This window comes from Homo sapiens, chromosome 2 (genome assembly GCF_000001405.40).
Source record: "Homo sapiens chromosome 2, GRCh38.p14 Primary Assembly".
NCBI lineage: Eukaryota > Metazoa > Chordata > Mammalia > Primates > Hominidae > Homo > Homo sapiens.
The window spans coordinates 163,667,948-163,685,763 of NC_000002.12; the positions used below are offsets into that span (position 1 = coordinate 163,667,948).

General features: G+C 36.4%; 1 protein-coding gene and 1 long non-coding RNA gene across 4 annotated transcripts in view, besides 2 other annotated features; both read right to left on the reverse strand.

Annotated features, from left to right (window-relative positions):
* Positions 1–26: part of a silencer, noted in NCBI's record as "tiled region #10417; K562 Repressive non-DNase unmatched - State 24:Quies", that runs on past the window's edge. NCBI's record gives its function as "represses a minimal TATA promoter and a strong SV40 promoter by Sharpr-MPRA in K562 cells {active_cell/tissue: K562}" and the evidence as "EXISTENCE:reporter gene assay evidence [ECO:0000049][PMID:27701403]".
* Positions 1–26: part of an enhancer, noted in NCBI's record as "tiled region #10417; HepG2 Activating DNase matched - State 5:Enh", that runs on past the window's edge. NCBI's record gives its function as "activates a minimal TATA promoter and a strong SV40 promoter by Sharpr-MPRA in HepG2 cells {active_cell/tissue: HepG2}" and the evidence as "EXISTENCE:reporter gene assay evidence [ECO:0000049][PMID:27701403]".
* The window catches only part of FIGN (fidgetin, microtubule severing factor), a 133,398-nt gene that overhangs the window by 65,337 nt on the left and 50,245 nt on the right, over positions 1–17,816 (reverse strand). The window lies entirely within an intron of this gene.
* LOC107985957 (uncharacterized) overlaps positions 1–17,816 on the reverse strand; it is a 65,994-nt gene continuing 48,178 nt past the window's right edge. The window contains exon 2 of the long non-coding RNA XR_001739759.2: positions 1–17,816. This exon is cut by the window's right edge and continues 16,818 nt beyond it. This is a non-coding gene — a long non-coding RNA (uncharacterized LOC107985957).

Consider the following 17,816-nt stretch of genomic DNA (forward strand, 5'->3'; position numbering starts at 1 on the left):
TTCACTCAACACCTGTTTTATTCAATGTCTCACAGAGTTCAAGGAAAGAGAACACCCCTACCTCCAACCCCCCCCCCCAAAAAACCCTCCACAAGTAACAAACAAGAAAAATATCTGATAGGGATATGAGCTACCTGGATACTTAAATTGGTATAATAGAATGGAGAATGACTGGGTGTCTATAGTGGTTCACATTAGCAGAAAAGTCATCTTCCAACCCATGAATGACAAAGACTGTCTCACATTGGGACCCAAACAAATAGTATTTAAAGACACCATGGGGCTAAAGGAAAGCACCTAGGGAGAGCATGTAGATTAAAAAAGAAGGGTCAAGCCCTGGGAGCCCCTATAACATAAAGTTCAAACTGAAGAAGAACCAGTAAAGGATACCAAGAAGAAAACCAGGAGACTGTGATCACCCAAACTAAGAGAAGAAACTATTTGAAGAAGGAGACAGTGGTCAACTTTGTTGGACCCTGGTAGAAGCTCAAATAAGATAAAATATTCAATTTGCCACATGCAGGACAGTGAGTGGTGAGCTGGATAAAGGCTTTAGGAGTTGAGATAGGAATGAAAGCCTGATTTGAATTGAATTCCATCTCTTCATAAGAAATCATGAAAGTATATTACATGGTAATAAAACACATTTTCCCCCTCTCTGTCCAGTTAAAGCAAAGTTTTAAATAGGTAAAACTTATAAGAGATGTAGTAGGCCAGGCGCAGTGGCTCACGCCTGTAATCCCAGCACTTTGGGAGGCTGAGGCGGGCAGATCACGAGGTCAGGAGATTGAGACCATCCTGGCTAACACGGTGAAACCCCGTCTCTACTAAAAAATACAAAAAATTAGCCGGGCGTGGTGGCGGGCGCCTGTAGTCCCAGCTACTCGGGAGGCTGAGGTGGGAGAATGGCGTGAACCCGGGAGGCGGAGCTTGCAGTGAGCAGAGATCGTGCCACTGCACTCCAGCCTGGGTGACAGAGTGAGACTCCATCTCAAAAGAAAAAAAAGAAAAAAGACATTTAGTATAGATTTCAGGAAGAATTTCTTAGCATAATTAAGAAAAAAAGGAATATATATATATATATATATACACTATAAATTCTTATTATATAAAGGAAAGATATTCATCCTGCTGTAAGTATTAATTTGATAACTCCTTTTACTCATTTATATTTTCTCAACTGAAAAAAAGTTGGCCCCCCAAAATATGGAGTGCATTTCTTAAAAATCTACATAACTAATAACAACTAAACAAACACTACTTCAGCGTTTTGTTTTGTTTAAGAAAGGGTCTCACTCAGTCGCCCAGGCTGGTGTGCAGTGGCCCAATTACAACTCACTGCAGCCTTCAACCTCTCAGGCTCAAGTGATCCTCCTGGCTCATCCTCCTGAGTAGCTGGGACTACAGGCGCATGCCACCATGCCCAGCTAATATTTGCATTTTGTATTTGTTGAGACAGGGTCTTCCTATGTTGCCCAGGCTTACTTCAGCTTCCAGAAACCAATAAATAAGAATGCATTTCTATCCTTTACATCTTACATATAAATAAGAAATACGTATTTGACTTCATACATATTGTCTGAATAAACCTCTAATTTTTATATTTGTGGATTAGAAAGGAAACCATTTAAAAATCTGTAGATTAAAGATAAGATGAAATGGCACAGTCTATAATCAAACTTTCAGTCACAGCAAAGCTGAATAAAACAATTTCTTTTTACAAATTCTACGTCTTCAGTTGCTCTTGTGGCTTTCTTCCAAAGAGATGACAAAGAGTTCACAAGTCATAATCTGCCAAACAAACTCCCAAAGAAATGAAACTTAATATACGTCAAGATGTTAGCCTCTATTTCCCTAGTGACAATAAAATTCTTTATTCTCTTCTAATTGCTGAGGACTTCTATGATTAAAAATGATTATCCTTAGAACATGGGTAAGTAGGATTTAATAGAAAAGTTAACTTAAATTCTCGATCGTAACCTACTAATGGTTACAGAAGCATTGATGCCCACTCTTCCAAGGACCAAAAGATATTTAAACATTTTTACATCAATGAAGTATCTAAATAAAAAACAAGAATTAATATTACAAGATTTATGTTTTTTATTATATAGAAAAAGATGTGCAAGAAGGTAATTCTGATGGACAGCAAGCTCAGCTTTAGCAAAACTAGAGTGATCTGCTTGGGTACATCACAATAACTATAATGATATTAGAATAAATGTGATCCTTTTTAAATTTTAGCTGCCACAAAGCATTATGTCAAATACTAAAGTGATGCTGTGTTAATACTACAGCACACAATGTGGCTGGCAACTTTGAGTTAGAATAATAGAGTGAGAGAGGTTTTTTAAATGAGTGTTGGTCACTTAGAAGTAAAAAAACAAACCCCCCACAACAAAGAAACAAGTACCTTAACAGTGCAAAATAGCTACCCACTGGAGTTAGTGGTAAGTATATAGTGCAATGAAGTCATCAACTAAACAGCATGTAGTGCTATATGAACATAGATTTCTGAGTCCAGATCTGTCTATGTTTATTTAAACAGCCTCACATTCAAATTCTAATTATTCTACATGTCATCTTTTCCAGTGTTTAGCTTATCGATAGCTTACTTATAAAAGTCTGCTTTTTAAAAAATTTTAGTTGACAAATAAAAATTATGTATATTTATGCAGTATGACATCATGTCTTGGTCGATGTATATATTGTAGAAAGATTTAATCAGGCTAGTTAACATACTTGTCACCTCACCAACTTATTAAAAGTCTAGCTTTTAAATTCATCCACAATGTATATTTATTTTGTAATGAATGAAGTATTCTCAGCAATTTAATATCTTCCTCAAAATACATTAAACACCTGATCTAAAGCAGTTCTTTTGATATATATGCACAATACATAAAACAAATTTGGCAAAGAGAAAAAAAGACATTAGCCTTTACGACAAGACTGTTGTCTGTATTTCTGTTTATTTTTGGAGAGTCCTTTTTAAAGAATACTGTTGGTTTGTTTTAGGAGCATAATTAGCTCATCAATAATATTTAACCAACCATAGCATCAAGATCAGTCTGGAACTGGAACTACTATATAACACGGTGATTCCCATTATCTATCCAGCTGGCGTGACTTGGCAAACAGTATTTTACAAGATATTGCACCAGCTTGTGATCGCCCAGAGATGCAATGTGCCCACTTTCTATGAGTGCTGAAGGTGTGGCATGTAACCTCTGTTAGCTGCCATCATCCATTTGCTACACTCTCTCAATTGGCAAATATTCCATGTGTAGCACAGTTGAGGAGGTTTTATAAATACAAGGCAGCAAAAACAAAAAGCATAGATAAAAAGGAATCAACCTCTGTGGCATACTAACCATTTAGGGAAGTTGAAGAGATCATGCAGAAGAATCTAAACATGCAGAAAAGGGACTCACGATCATGGAAATACATCTTAAGCATTTGGGGTGGGAGGTATGTATATTCTGAACTCAGAGCTCTACACAGTGATATCTTGGGACAAACTACGCTATCCTTTGCCTCCTGATTTAATAAAAAATTGGTAGATTTACAGTCATTTACAGAGCTACCCCTCACTGGTCTGTGATCAGTCAACATATTAATAACTGAAAGATAACTCACAAAATTACCCATGTAGTTTAAAAAATTGATTACCCATAAACATTTTCCAGAAAGTAACCAAAAATCAAAATTTCACTTTTCTAGGTTTTCTTGCAGTTTTTTGTAACTAGAGAGGATTTTTACTATAAGCCAAACACCCATAAAAATGTGTTAAGTCCTATAAAACATCAAATAATTACAGCTTCTGATTCACATTAAAAAGCAGGGGCTGATATCAAGTCACAAAATAGGTGAGTATTAACATGACAAGGATATGAAACATGCATGTAATAATTCTGAAGTTTTCATCATGACTTATCTCAGATAAATTTAGTATAATCTCTTCATAACTCTGTGAGTCATTGGCCAACTCATTACTATAATATAATCAATATATTATTGAGATGGAAATATCCTGGCAATATGGCAAGGCTCTAGAAATGCCAGTTTCTAAATTGATGTCAAAGTATTACACATGTGTCATAAACGGCTAACAAAGGGATGCCAAATCATCCCTGTTGCTGAGATAATTGTTTTACTTTGAAGTTTCTCAAGATCTATTGTGTTAGTTCCCAGGTCAGAGCTATCTGCCTCTCCTCTGTCCATTTTTTCCCCTCATTCTTCAATCACAATGTAGAATTAGAAAACTATTTGACAATTAGATAACAAGTTATTTCAATGGCTCTAAAAAAAAAAAAAAACTACTTCGTTGATTTTGTTAAAAGAAGAATCCTTGATTTCCTTGCTAAGATTTACTGAGGAAACTGGGTATATTGTGTAACTCTATGATATAAGCTTCAGAAAGCTAGGAGACTAAAGGATGAGGTTGGGGCACATGTTTATAGGATGAAGTGCCCCTATTAAGAATCTATGAGAAAGGCTTTCATGCCTTAGTTACATTTTCTGTCTCCTCCAATTAGACTCCTCCAATGCTACTGAAGGGCTTTAGTACAGTGCTCTGCACACAATAGGTGCTTCACAGATATTTGCAGAATGATTTATTGAGGAGGAATCCATAGATGATCTCACAGAAATTCAAGGAAAAATCTACTATGTGAAAAACAAAGTGCCGATTCCATGCTTCAATTCCATGATTCTGGCAGCCAGCATAACAAAACAGCCACAACAATAACAAGAAAAAAAAGCCACGATGATGTTTAGAAGTTAACTTTAAACTCTTCTGTTGTTCATAGAGTCATATGTATATTTTCTCTCCTGGGTGCAGAGTCCTTAGTTCAGTGTCTTTTGAGAAAACTGTAAAGACACACATGCACACTCTGACTTACTCTCTCTTATTTTGCACATTTATTTGAATGAGATGTATTTTACCTTAATTTCTTTAAATGGCCATTTCTGTAACTTTCCAAAGAGGAAAGAGATATAGTGAAGTGCAATAGGGGACCAAAAAGTTACATTTTACATTATTGATGTATCTTTAATGCCAGTGCATATCTCGTTAGACTTTCTGATCAGAAAATGTAAGTATGTGTGTGAGGATAGGAACTGAGCAGCTTACGACAGAAAAATATTATTCAAAATAAAAAGACATCCCTTATTTAGAAGGGATGCCAGTAGGAAGCTTTTAAAATTAACTTGCCCTAAATGTGGAGCCTTGGAATTGGATCTGCAAAGTGTAAATAAACACCTACCTTGAGATGTGGGATTCATTTGAGGATTTCTTCAAATGGAAACATACTTGCGAGACACTGGGTCCCTGAGGGAAGAAAGCTATAGAAACAGGTTTCATTTTTACTGTTTCCTGTAGTAAGTTGAATCTGACAGCTGATTCTCTTCTGGACAAGGCAAAATTTTTAAGCCAAGAATATAAACATAGTCAATTTTTCTGTTTTTGTTTTATCCTAGATGGTGCCTTATTCCAAGATTTCAGTGTACAATGCTCAAGTTCAGTGAACTTTCCAAGATTACTATGCATTTCCCAAGGAGAAGAGACATACAAAAATTACTCTGCCAATTACATATGCTAGTTTCATTAATACCTTCATTTAATTGACTGGGATTTATGAAAGATCTAGTAATGAAGCCATACTGTGCCATAACTTATCCCACCTTGCAAGAAGAAAACGGAAGCTCAGATGGATTAAAACTATATGCTCTCTGGGGCAGGGACGGGGTCTGTTTTGTTCTTCAGTGTATTTTCATGGCCCTACACAGTGTAGTGTGGTGGTAATAGAGCACAGCCATTTGGAGCTCAGTGTCTGGAGTCAGACAGACCTGGCTTGGGGCAGAAGCCTCAGGTGAGGAAACAGGTTAGGCTTTAAAAATAAAGACTTAAAGGTGAACATGTATTACAGGTAATATCTCAGTTTCCTCACCTCTTAAAATGATATGAATATCTAATAAAGTGTTGGATAATGAAATAATACATGTAATGTGATCAAATAGTGTCTGTTACATAGCTAACATTTATTAATAAAATTCTCATCATTATCCTTATCTGGCACTTGGCATCATTATAAAATGAATGGCTGAATGCAGCTATTATACACAAAATCAGAACCCTGGTTTTCTCACTTCTCTCTCAGTACTCACCTCCCTTACATGATACTATACATGTAATTGGAAGTTACCTGAAAAGATTGATGAATTTAGTTTTACTAACTCCAATTTAGTATCTCTTGCAGGCAGGTGGGAGGGAGGAGCTTTCCATACTTATGTTTTGTGCCAGCTGAATGTGCGTGTGTGCGTGCGTGTGTGTTTTACAGTTTTTGTTGTGTTTTGTTTTACACAAATGAATTACGCTTTTCTAATGTAGAGATCTGCTTCTGAGCTAATGCCCTATTTCATGACTTCGTCACTATTTGCAGCTTTCTAGAAATGCTATTGCTGGGATTCCCAGCCTGAAGAGTTTTATATAGAGAAAAACATGGACAAAGATAATTCTGGTCTAAAGCTGTTTTCAGTCTTGCACTGCCAATTATATTAACTGTCTTCAAGAAGACACACTGAAATTAAAATGGCAAATTTAACTCAGACTTACAGTAATGTAGGCAATCATTTAATTTCACAAAACTGAAATGATTTGGGGGCTGTGGTGAAAATATTTTGAAGGATACCATAAAGTGGAAGCAAATTTAATTTTTTATATAAGCAAATCTTGAAGTAGGAGTGAGGAATTCTATAGGCAACTAAATCTTTGAAAATAATAATGCAGTTTTTGGATTTCTTTAGTGCCTTCTTCCTCCAAAGAATTGCATGATCATCACATGTATGGTTGCTCTTTACAACATTCTTGACAAAAAAAAAATAGTAAGAGTTCAATGACTTTTTTTCCCACAGAAAAGGTGAGGCATTGAGTATTTAAATGGCTTTCTGAGAAGAAGTATGGTTAGCTCATAGGTGGAACTTGAACCTTTGATTAGAATCTACTAGCTCTGACAAATTTAAAGTAACATCTAAATATGACCCTTTAGGAATACTTCTAAAACCTGTTCACATTTAAGTCTTTATCTATGAAAGTATTTAGATGAAATCTTAGAAAATTATGTAATGTACAGACAATGGATTTTTTCCATGCCACATTTGAGTTAACATAGTTTCTTCTTATTGATCCAAAAGATTTGAAGTAATATTAACAGAAGTGGATGTAATAGGGCCTGGATAAACTCTAATTTCCCCCTTTTCTTGTCACTTCTTCCATGTCCCTTGTTTTTAATTGCTCTGTTTAATCAAGAGAGTATATTGTTTTTGTTCTTGTTTTGCAAGATCTGACACACAGATCATGTCTGTAACAACCTGGAATACGTGACATCACACACATAGGAAAAAACTGTGGCCCTAACTACTCAGAATCTAGAATTTCTTATCACAGACTAGTGATTCTTAAAGTGTAGTCCCTGGACCAGCAGCAACAGCATCACTGGGGAAACTGTTAGAAATGCAAATTCAGAGCCCTAGAGATCTACTGAATCAGAAATTCTGGGTTGTAGCCCAACAATCTGTACTTTAACAAGTCTTCTGGGTGACTCTAATGCATGCAAAGCTTGAGAATCGCTGACCCAGACTCAGAGCTTCTTGATCCAGATATCTGCATGTGCGCATGCCCAGCCCTTGTGTTTCTAGCATAATTCTTTTTCTACTTGCCAAGTCCCTTTACTTGAATGTCTTTTCTTTTCTTTCTTTCTTTTTTTTTTTTTTTTTTTTTTTGTACAAGCATGTCAGCCTCTTCTTTTCAATTGTATGGAAACACTGCACTTTTATGTGGGAGGACAGAAGATGAGTAGGATTCATCATATATAATATATATACATCATATATAATATATATATAATTTTAAAATATTCACTTAAGGCTCCTTTTACCAAAATGCCTCAGTGGCACAGGAATCTTGTACCGCAAAGCAAATACCTGGGAGAGCTGGAGGGAGGGGTGGGGTGTTTTGTACAAAATGAAAGGGTATCAACAAGCATGGCCTACAAGATCATTGTGACTTCAGTATTTAGAAATGTAGTTGTCAATTTATTTTTAATTATTTTAATCCTCAATGCCAGTGTGGAATCAAATTGCCATTTACAATAATAGAAGACTTAAGTCTGAATCCGTAAATAAGGCATGCTGTGGAGTACACATATGAATTCCTTTTTTTGCTTAAATTCATTACATAATGTTTCTGAAACTTGAGTAATCTATAAATTCATTTTCAAAGGAAAAATTATTTTGAAACTAATACTAGTTACAGACCCAGTGCCTAGATGGAAAAACAATGTTTTAAAAAATTAGAGTTCTTCTATAAAAAGTGTTTTTAATTGGAAATTTCTCTATCAAAGAAAACTTTTATGTTTATTCGTACAAAATGTATTTTAATTCACTAAAATGAAAATATATAATTAAAACATCTCATGGATTCCTGGAATATATATATATATATATATATATATATATATATATATATATATATATAACTAGAGTCTGTGCACCCGAATCTGAGAAACATAGTTTTATACTAATCTAAACCATACCTCTGAATTCTAAAAAGCATCTAAAGTAAAAGTGAAATGTGTGACCAAGAATATTAAAATAATAAATGTCATTTTGTAACAACTATCAGAAAACTTGAAAAGTATTTCAGTTCATATTTTGAAGCTGATAAATATCAGCTCTGTGGTTAAGTTTGTCTTAAAACTCAAATACCCAATTTTATTTACACAGATAGCCAAAGTCATCTGTTAGCCTGAAACATATCTGAACAGTACCTGAAGTCATCCTTTTGAGAGCCCTTTACCTGTACTATCCAAGATATGTACCTCATCACAATTTAGAGGATATTCAGAAATGGAAATTCCATAGTTTATAATACAAAAAAGAATTAGCACTCAAAATATGTATGCAAGGAAATATTAATAAAGGCAGTAACTGATAACATGTACATACCCAAGGGATAATATATTTCAATGAAAGGAGGGAGGGATAGCTTTCAAACTCTCACAGTGTCACCCACTCTGCTTATGTGCTAAACTTTGTTGACAGCAACAATATCCTTGTTGACTCTTGCACGTGTACTTTAAGCCAAACAATCTGTCTCAAGAAGGATGTGAACCATCAAGTTTGCAGAATGGGCATGGCTCTGCCAGATTTTATCTATCTGAAAGATGATATGGCTTATTCCCTGCATGGAATAGGAAATAAAAGGTGTAAAATAGGAAGCTCTACTGTTTCAAAGTTTCATTTGGGTTTCTGTGGATTCCTAAGCAAGACATGCAAATAGGTAAACATAACTACCCATAACATCCAAGCAAATATGAACAATTTTATCCCAAATACCTTAACCCCACTGACTTCTCAATTAGCACAGAATTCAGGGCTGCAATGGTGTAAATGGTCTGTCTACATTTGTTCTGTCCAATATAGCAGCCACTGGCCACATGTGTCTAGTGAGTACTTGAAATGTGGCTACTGCAAATTAGGAACTGAATCTTTTATTTTATTAATTTAAACAAATTTAAATAGCCACATGAGGCTAGTGGCTACTATGCTGGACAGCAGAGAAGCTAATCTTTTTTAAAACATGATTTCCTACATTTTCCTTTACTTTTATTAGGCTATTCTGATATTAAAATAACTTCTTATTTAAAAAAGGATTCTTTCAAATTAAATTCTCTTTTTTTATTCAAAATCATTTTCTTTTGTTTTGTGTTCTACTCAGTGACATACTTGTGAAAGCCTTTTGAAACAATTTTCAGAAAGCCTGACACTGTTGTCTTTGTTGAGCTAGGTAACTTTAAGTCACTTAGACATTTTAACCTTTCCTATCTTTTACTTTCCCTGCTCTTTTCCATATTCCTCAACTTTCTAGATATGTGAAGCCAAAATAAGATGCAATATATACTGAATAACGCAATGGGGTTGTGTGGAAGAGGAGGAAGGAGAGTGACCTTTTAAGAATAGTTTTAAATTTTGAGAAAAGCTGAAAAGATAGTAGAGTTGCTATATATCCTACACCCAATTCCCTCTATTTTTAACATCTTACATTACTTCAATATGGTGCATTAGCACAACCAATGAACCAATACCAATACACTATTGTCAACTAAAGTTAATATTTTATTCGAATTTCCTTAGTTGTTACCCAGTATTCCTTTTCTGTCCCAGAATCATCTCATCCAGAATACCACAGTGCTTTAAGTTGACATGTCTTTTTTTTTCTTTTTTCTTTTGTGAGATGCAGTCTCGCTCTGTCACCCAGGCTGGAGTGCAGTGGTGCGATCTTGGCTCACTGCAACCTCCACCTCCCACGTTCAACTGATTCTCCCGCCTCAGCCTCCCGAGTAGCTGGGATTACAGGTGCCTGCCATCACGCCCAGCTAATTTTTGTATTTTTAGTAGAGACGGGTTTTCAACATGTTGGCCAGGCTGATCTCAAACTCCTGACCTCAAGTGATCTGCCCACCTTGGCCATCCAAAGTGCTGGGATTATAGGTGTGAGCCACCACGCCTGACCAACATGTCATCTTAAGCTCCTCTAAACTATGAGAGCTTTCCAGACTTTCTTGTTAACTTGCTTTTAATTAGAACTATTGGGGTTGAGCAAATTTACAATTGAGTCACTAATACTTGAGGAAATAAGAATAAAAATAATTTTAAGATAAAACAGATGATATTTCACCAAAATCCTGGTAAGCATTCCATGACAGAGACCTTTACAAATAACACCAGTCACTCTGGGCCATGGAAGATATCCTTGGGATAGTCTTCTAGATGCAAGTAACTCATGGGTAACTACCTATGAGGTGTTAGCCATTCCCTAGTAAGAATCAACCCAACAATAATACAACCTCAGTTTTATGTCCAGTTCATTGAAGAAATCATGTGAGATTTGAGATACCTTTTACTTTCCTCCTACTACCCCACTCACACACATATACAATAAGTGGTCTATGATTTTATCATTAATGAAAATTAAATTTATCTGGAGTAATTTATTCTTCAAAAACTAGTCTTTGGCTACTTAGTAATTTGAGTTACTCTATACCAGTGCAATGGCAATTGAATAATTGTGTTACTGCATTCTTATACGTTGAAGTTGATCATTATAAATATTAAGTATCTCTGATCCTTGTTGGATCTACAAATCAGTTACTGGCTCTTAAAGTCTGGGAGTTATAATGAATCTTAGAATGCACACTATTTGAGGCTGGGCGTGGCGACTCACACCTGTAATCCCAGCACTTTGGGAGGCCGAGGCGGGCAGATCACGAGGTCAGGAGATCAAGACCATCGTGGGTAACATGGTGAAACCCCGTCTCTGCTAAAAAAAATACAAAAAATTAGCCAGGCATGGTGGCGGGCGCCTGTATTCCCAGTTACTTGGGAGGCTGAGGCAGGAGAATGGTGTGAACCTGGGAGGCAGAGCTTGCAGTGAGCAGAGATCACGCCACTGCACTGCAGCCTGGGCGACACTGCGAGACTCCGTCTCAAAAAAAAAAAAATGTACACTATTTGAGCTAACTGTGGATCCTACTTTTTAAAGTATACCAGCTTTAGTCAAGCATTGCCTTCCTAATCCTGGTCTAACTTTCCATCTTCTTTCTATAATAGTTGGATTTCTTAAGCCAACATTTCCTTGTTATTGAGTGTTTATATGAGAAGCAGGGAGGTTTAAAGGTTCAATTTTCCTTGGTTCCTTGCTTTCATTGCACATGATTTAAGATACTATTTTTCCACTCTTCTTAAAATGGCTCCATGTCTTTAAAAATATGCTAATTGTCCTCTATAATCTGTTTCAGTTTCTACATCTAGTGAAAGTTCTAACTTATCTTAAAAAAAATCAACTTATATATTACAAACTGTGAATAGTAGAACTTAAGAACTGGAATCAACTTCCACATTGTCTGGTACATGCACTTTCTTTGATAAGTGAGAAATATGAAACTCAATACTTACCAAATGTCATGAAGTTTGTTAGCAGAAGAGTCAATTCCAGAATCTAGCTACTGTAAGTCTAGGACATAAAGCGTGGAATGATTGCACTACGCACTGCCTCTTCATTTCATCTAAAGCATGTTTACTCAAAGGGAACTAGTCCCTAAAGTTCCAAGAACATTTTTCTAAAATGGTGTGATCTTTTAGATACAACAGGGACTATGTAGGCATACAAAGACAGTATTGGGTGTACACATTAAAATTAACAGTTTATCTCCAAAATTAAGCCTTCAGAGTCTCCTTTAACATAACATATCATCTGGCTCCTTTTGTCCTCTACCCAGTCTTTCCAGACCATTTCTCTTCTACCTTCTTCTGGAATACATCCCCTTTTATGATTCTTGCTATCATGGTATACATCTTCTTGTGGCACCGCAAACCAAGCACAAAATCTTACTTCCTCACTACAGCCAACTACCTCTGGACTCCTTTTCTGAGACAGCCTCAATTCTCTGTAGCAGTAGGTTAGCAAGTCATGGGAGAACAGCCAAGGGATCAGGCTGACACCACGACAAGCCCCATCTCATCTGCCATCACCCCCTCACCTGGAAGCCTGTGAATTGATTTGCTCTTCTAGAATTAGTGCTTCCATCCTTTTGTTCATGCTGCTTGCTCATTCTTCTTTTTACCTTCCGTCCTATAATTTGGCAGCTACCTACATATTCTTCAGAGGTCAGATAAACCATCGCCTCTCTGTGCTTCCCCCCAATCTTCCCCCTCCCCAGAGCTTCATGCAGCCTCTTTGGGGCTCCCGGAGTCCACTGTATATAACTCTATTATAGTACTTGTTATATAGTAAAATTATACCTACATATATGTTCCCTTTTCATTAGATTCTGAGCTCCCTAACAGAAAGAAAAAAAAAATGCCTTATTAGTTCTGGTATCCTTATCAGCCTGTCTAGCAGAGAATAAGCTATAATAGTAACATATTATTTGAACATATGGCATGTGCCAGACACTATGCTAAGGTACTAATAGGAATTATATATTCCTCACAATGACCTTAAGCAATAGTGCTGTTATTACGATCACTTCACAGAAAATTGAAATGCAGAGAAGTTAAGTAACTTGCCCATGTTCACATATCAATTAAATTTTAGAATTCAAATACAAGTCGAAATCTAGGGCCATTTTCTTAAGTGTTTTATTGCTTTTCTGAGGAGGGGTCAATAAATAGTTGTTGAATGAACAAATACCTGAATGTGAGTGAATGAATGGAAAGAATCCTATACTAAAGCAAATAATACTAAGGATTTGAAACGCTTCATTAAACTGCTTGCTTAATGCATAGGCTGGAATGGTCCTTGGAGTTCATGTAGCCCCTTTACAGAGGAAGAAATAGGTTCCAAATGACACCACAACTTTTCTCTCTACTTTTGACAATATTGTATATATATTTATCTTTTTAAAAATGTGACTCCTGGTGGCCATGAACAGTGGCTCATAATTATAATCCCAGCACTATGAGAGGCTGAGGCAGGAGGATCCCTTGAGTCCAGATGTTCAAGATCAGCCTGGGCAGCATAATGAGACCCCATCTCTTAAAAAGATAAAAGTGACTCCTTAAGACAGAAATACATACAAGGCAAAGGAACACATGATGACTGCACGCCTGGCACGATTTTGAAGCACGATGAAGGGCAAATATGTTTTCAAATATCTTTGTGTCTGTGTATGTGTAAAACTTTAAGAAAGAGTGTGGACATTCACTGGGAAGTTCATCAAAGTAAGTTTCCAAGGGACAAATCATGCATTTGAATACTTTTCCAGGGAAAACGATGGAATCGCTTTTCCTACTGGCTTATGAAGAACTCTGTGGAGAATGCTAGAATGACTGCTGTGAATAAAAGGGCCTGAAAACAATCCAGAAACACTCTTTTTTCTTCAAAAGACAATTCTCACTAGTCCAGCCAGGAAATGTGGCTTCGAATAAGGAAGGCAAGTGTGAGTTGGCTCACACCGGATTGGACATATCCCAAGTGTATTTCTCATGAAGTTGCAGTTTGGCCTTGCTTTCAGGGGCTGATGTGCTAAGAGACCAAGACTGCGAATACTCAGAGACCTCAGGACAAAAATTCTGGCAGACACCAAATTATTTAATCTACTTTCTTTTCCTGTTGCAATCTTTTGTTAAAACAAACAAACAAACAAACAAAACAAAACAAAACAGAGGTTAAAATGAAAATAACGTGAGTTTATTCTAATGGGAAAGGAATTTGAGGATATAAAAATCCCATTTGTTTCATTCTCTAACAAAAGAGCATTTCATAAACTGAGTACAAATTCAACTTCATATTTTGGGATATGATATTTGATTCTAGTGAGTTTTAATTACTATTAGCAGGAGCATAAAATAACAGTCTATAGCCGCAGGCAATCCAGTAATCCAACACAACAAGTATTTATTAAGCTTTGTCTATGCTGGAGGAGATATAAAAGGAGGAGTACGTGGCAAAAGTCATGCACTTCAAGGAACAGACATGCAATCTTGTTATGGAGAAAAGACACATCCAGAAAATAATTACAGAACAGGACAGTTTAAAATGGTTTAAATATAATCAAATAAATTACCTTTACAGTCATGGCTTATAAGGAGAGACTTTGAGGCAGAAGTAGGATGAGACCTGCATTGAATGATTGCTTTTATAGGTGAAAGTGAGAATTTTTTAAAAAGGCATTCTTGTTACAGTAACAATGTGAACAGAAACAGAAATATGAAATAGCATTCATTCAAGTGTTCATTCAACAAATATTTGCTGAACACCTGTACGTATAGGGCCTTGTGTCAAGTGCTAGCATGACATTTCTTCTTACTTTTCAGAGAAAGTGAAGAGACTATGCTAGCAGGAACAAAGGGCACATTTTAGCTATATGACTTTGGATGAGTCACTTAACCTCTTTGAGCCTTAGTTTCCTCCCTTGTGAAATGAGAGGATTAGCCACCAGGGGTTGTCAAAGTTTCTTCTTCTTCTTTTTTTCTTTTAGCAGTGAAACTCTTTTCTGTTCTAATGAAATCTTAAGCACAACCCAAATATATTAAGAAACCAGACTGGATTTGGTCTGGCTAAAGGGAGACATATGGGTTGGAGGAAAAGATAGCCTGGATATGCCTTTTGTTGAACATCTTTCTCCCTTTTCCTCCCCAGCCCATGCCTCAAAGCCCCCAGGATTACAAGTGAAATAGTTTTTAAAAGAATTCACCTTCCTGAATCCTCAATTCTCTTCTACTCGTAAAGTGTTGCAATAGGAAATATAAGATATCAGAAGATTAGTTTTGTAAATAGAGTTTGATTACAAAAATCCTGAATTTTAGGATGCTAAAACAGTATAGGTTCTTAAGTGAAATGACAAAATTGTTGTTTCAAAGATTGTTGTTCGAAAGTGTCTGGTAACACCATTTAAGAGGGACTAGAAGAAGAAAACTAGATATTAAGCTATAAAGGCCTGGGCTAGGCTAGCATTACTGGGGATAGGAAGGGTCAAACCAATACAGCAGAGGGAGAATCTGCAGAACTTGGTAAGATTAAACGGAGAGAAAGGAGACAAAGAAGGAGTCAAAAATAGCATTCCAATTTGTAAATCCAATATGGTACTACAGATAGATATGGGAAGTAGATCTCAAACTAGGTGCACATTGGAATTGCCTGGGGAGCTTTAAAAAATACTGATAACTGGTTCTCACCCCCTGGAGACTCTGAATTAATTGGTTAGGGGTGCAGCCTGGGCAGTGAGATTTTTAAAGCTCCCCAGGTAATTCTAATGTGCGGCCAAGGTTGAGAACCACTGAAATAGAAGGGCAGGGAGTAATGGCAGGCCTAGAGAACATGTTTTAATGAACTATCTTCTGATGCTTTTATGGTCTAGCTAATTTTTTATTAAGGTTGTTTTTTTTCATACTCTGCTTAATATTAAACACCAATCATGTTACTACAAAGTTATACATAATATGATTTTTCCTGTATCATCCTGTCAACATATCTCTATGGGATTTGCAAAGAAAACAATCTCTGTGTTTTTCCAATGTTGAAAATCAATGATAAAATCTCCACTAATGAGAAATGTGTGTTTTTAAGTTTATGTGTAAATGCTATACTTCAAGAGTTTTTCTTTATCATAGATCATTATTACAGGATCATTATGATGTTTGTCCAAAAATTATCTTTACACACACACACACACACTTTAGAGACTTGTAAACAATATATTATTCAGTCATTCCTATCTTGAAATACTATTTAGTCTCTATAAAGGTACTACAAAAAGTCAAGAGAAGTTCAGCCTTTACTCTGCCTAAACATAGCAAAAGCAAGCTAGATGAAATTTTAAGTCACAGCAGTCCCTAATATTTGCATAGCCTTTTTGCATTTTTAAAATCCTCTACAAATATTATCAAGCTGGATTCTAACAATAGTTCTATTATTTGATCATAACAGATAGTCTAATTTTGTATTCCTGGATGAGGAAATGGAGACCCAGAAGTCAGGTAACACGTCCAAGTCCCAAGGATAGAATTTAACCCATTAGGTCTCAGGTCTTTTCTTCCCTAGCTTGGTTGTCTACATTCTCTTTCAAGCACACAATCTAGTTTTCAGGTACATGTCCCCACTTTAGGCTTTCAGAGGGAGAGGTAGATGTTTATCACTCAAAGTGATCACTTTCTCCTCTATGAACCACAGGGCTTTATCAGTAAAATCTAGTTAAAAACATTCTTTTCTACTTTTATTAGAGCTATGAAAATGCGTATTTTCATTATTGAACTGTCAGTTTCCTTTTTTTCTTCTTCTTTCTGAGACGGAATCTTGCTCTTGTTGCCCAGGCTGGAGTGCACTGGCGTGATCTCGGCTCACTGCAACCTCCGCCTCCCAGGTTCAAGCAATTCTCCTGCCTCAGCCTCCCGAGTAGCTGGGATTAAGGCGGGAGCCACCATGCCTGGCTATTTTTTTTTTTTTTTTTTTGTATTTTTAGTAGAGACAAGGTTTTACCATGTTGGCCAGGCTGGTCTCGAGCTACTGACCTCGTGATTCACCCGCTTCAGCCTCCCAAAGTGCTGGGATTATAGGCGTGAGCTACCGCACCCAGTGAACTGTAACTTTCTTTAAGGTTGGGTCCATGATGACTAGAAGAGTCATATTTCCTATTCCATAAACACCTAACAGTTTCATTTACTTAGCTAGGTATGGGACTATACTCTCTCATTGCTATCTTCTTTTTTACAATTAGACTTTGAATTCAGAATCAGAAATATTTTTCAAATTAATCTGTACTCCTTGTTCTACCCTTTTGTGATGAGTTGGCAACAGCTCTTCAGATAAAGAAAAACTGTGAAAATATCTTCCTTGGGGTCTTTCTTCCTATTTCCAAAACAACTTTCCAAGTTACTTTAATAATCTCTCAGACAGAAGTTTTTCAGATCAATCACTTTTTCTGACATCTTCTAGATAAATACATGTTTGGCCGTGTTCCCCTTAGGGCATAGGCAGTCCAAGACAAAAACCATGACTTCAAAAGTGACATGATCTGTGTAGCATTCAGAGGAACTACTACCTCCCTTGGTAGAGGCTCATGATTTTAGATTAAGGTTATGTTAGCATTCACAGCCACCACAGCTCATCAATCAGAAGGCTGAGCCAGACTTCTTCTAGGTCAATATTAACGATCTTGCAGTATCGTTATCTGAAGTAAGTGGAAGAATACTTTAATTTGTAAATCTAAGCTCATCAAATAGTTTTTCCTAAGACATGCAATACAGTGTTACTGGAG